Source organism: Homo sapiens, chromosome 11, assembly GCF_000001405.40.
Source record: "Homo sapiens chromosome 11, GRCh38.p14 Primary Assembly".
Lineage (NCBI taxonomy): Eukaryota > Metazoa > Chordata > Mammalia > Primates > Hominidae > Homo > Homo sapiens.
The window spans coordinates 127,229,639-127,232,371 of record NC_000011.10 but is presented as its reverse complement, the minus strand read 5'-3'; the positions used below and the strand labels follow the sequence as shown (position 1 = coordinate 127,232,371).

General features: G+C 40.5%; 1 long non-coding RNA gene across 1 annotated transcript; it reads right to left on the bottom strand.

Moving 5' to 3' along the window:
- Positions 1-508: 508 nt before the first annotated feature.
- On the bottom strand, positions 509-2,447 carry LOC107984379 (uncharacterized). The gene is made up of 3 exons (XR_001748080.1): positions 2,385-2,447; positions 677-842; positions 509-592 (listed from the first exon to the last, which is right to left on the bottom strand). It is a non-coding gene; the product is annotated as an uncharacterized LOC107984379 (long non-coding RNA).
- Positions 2,448-2,733: the final 286 nt, after the last annotated feature.

Sequence of the window (2,733 nt, the reverse complement as noted above, 5' to 3'; positions counted from 1 at the left end):
CACTCAGTCCACTACGGTAGCAATAGTGTTTAAAAATGGGGAGTCAGAGGTGGGATTGATCCAGACACTGTTGATGGTGACACATGCTTGGGCCTTCCTATCTTTCTCCTCTTTCCTTCCAGAGACCTGATCAATGGAGACACACAGAGATCACCAGCAAACTGAGAACTGAAGAGCCCTCTTGTTTCTCTGGGCAATAACCCTCCCAGCCCAAAATGCAAGGCTTTGAGTAATGGTACAACACAGCTTTTTTGTTGATGCTGAAGTCAAAATGAAGTATCCTACTTCCTACACTATATCAACACCTTGTCCAAGTGTGCAGGGTGCCTGCACAGAGAGAGGAAATGAAAGTCCACTGCACCTAAGCCTCCGAGAAGGCCACAATCAGGGAAAAGGACACTGCTGAACTGACCCCTGCTTTCCAGGTATGCAACTCCATACAATAGCAAATATGGTCTGTTGACCTCAAACTTGGAATATTGAGCTTAATTAGTTCTACTCACGTGAGAGAGAAGGAGTGGACAGAAGGGTGGGAAGTGATTTCTACAAGATTTCTCTGGTGTGGGAAGAGACAGAAAATGTCCTCTCCTTTCTAGAAGAGAAAGCAGGGAAGATTAGTTTCACTTTCCAACATAGTCACCCCAACCAGTCAGCCATTAAGAAGATGGGGATGCACCTAGAGCTTCCTCTCCTCTCAGGGTCACTTCAGAAAGTGGATGCTGGAAGATTTTGCTGCTCAGAGAGCTATTTCCAGGCTCAGAACATTTTTGACTTCTTCTGCCAGGTTGAGTCCCTCCCTTCCTTCTAAAGTGCTTTCATGCTGCAGCCAAGTAAATGGGTGCCTGGGGAGAGAAGCCACGACAAAGTCAGGGCCCAGAAGACTCTGAAATCCACAGTGAGCTCTGGTTTGTTTGGGAACCAATTCAAAGGTTAATTTTTAGGGAGAACTTCTTGGTATACATGCACACTTGCTCACATGCAAAAACCCACATGACATTTTTTTGTTGCTAGGACTTGGGTTATAGTGCTAGAGCTATATCTTAAAGATCGTCTAGTTCAATCCTCTTTCCCAGTTTTATAAGTCAGAGAAATGAGTCCTCAAAGGTGAAATGCTTTTCTGAAGTTCACCCAAGAAGTTAACCTCATTAGCAGAGCCAAGCCAGGATGCAGGCTTTCTAAACCTTGTGGGGTGTTCTTGCTGCCTTGCTGATGAATCTCTCTCTTTCTCTCTCTGTCTCTCTCTGTCTCCCCATATATATGGTTATACAGTTGTATATGGTTACTATATATATATATAAACTTTTGGTCTACATTTTCCATTTTTGAGGGATTAAGTCTTGTCTGCTCCATGATGTTGCTCAATATTCAGCCCCAACTTCCTGCTTCCTTGTCTGCAGTATTCCTCCTCACTCAGGAAGAAAATCAAAAGTGTGATCGGATTAATTTGGGGTGGGATGGTAGGAAAAGAGGATGAAGAATGAAGTCTTACTGTTTTTCCTCCACCACATTTTAAAATTATATGTGAGATGCACTAAAACAAACCTTGGACTGGATGTTTTTCTACTTATCTCCCATCCCCCATCTCCTCTCCCCCCATACCGTGTGCAAATCTGATCCTCTTGGTCCCCTTTTTATTGATCTTTTACGGCTTTTCATGTGACCTCAGGTCTCGGCACCTGAAGGTCCTCAGACATAATCCAATCATTTAGAAATATTTTAGATTTATGTTTTTATTTAATATAAATTTAATAAATTTTATAATTTTTAATACATTTTTAAATAAATTTTATAATTTTTAATAAATTTTTAAATAAATTTTATTAATTTTATTTAATATAAAATTAATAAAAGCATATTCTGGGTCATCAGGATGGTCACCTTCATATTACAGAGTACTGTCAGGCAATTAAAGTGCTTGGGATTGTGTTTGTGTTTACAATAGTGATAGTGACAAGTTGTACTTCTTTAAATGAAAAGCTAATGAGAAAGAGCAGAGGCTGGCTAAATACATAAATAATGCTTTCTTTCAAAGTGAAGGTCAAATGACCTCAATGTTCACTATAGGAATAAAGATTTCCCAGTAACTTGATCACAGAGATCTGGTGGGAGAATTGAGTCACCACACTGGACATGGCGATAGATTTATGCCAAACACAAGGGAACTCACTCCATGGTTATCAGTAACCCACACATAACCGCAATGTAGTTTAGGCAAACAACCTAGTACACCATATTTAAGTATGTTTTAAATGTTTATTTCATTTGGCTTTTAGTTTCATGTGTTTTCAGTAATACATTCCTTTTGCTTCTCTAGTTTTACTAAAACTACAAGGATGGCATGTTTAATATGTTTGTACATATTATAATACAAACACTTTAGTTACCATTGAAGATCAATGGGTAGGTCAGTCAGGGTCCCCCCAAGAAACAGATGGCACATGTAAAAGGATTCACCTGAAAGAAATTTAGTGAAAGGGCTATTCACAGAGGTGTGAGTGAAGTTAAGAAACAAAAACAACAACAATAAAAAAAAAAAACAATAAAGGTTGGTGAGGAATCCAGGAACTAGCATTGAGAATCCATTGTCACCCTGGGCCTGAAGGGGCAAAGGGAAGCCTTCTGGGGAGCAGAGCCAGAGCAGCCAGAGAAACAGAAGCCAGCCCAGAGCACACAGCCTGGGAGACTGGGAGGAGGCGCTGCGGTGCCTGCATATTTCTAGGGTGGCACTGGAAA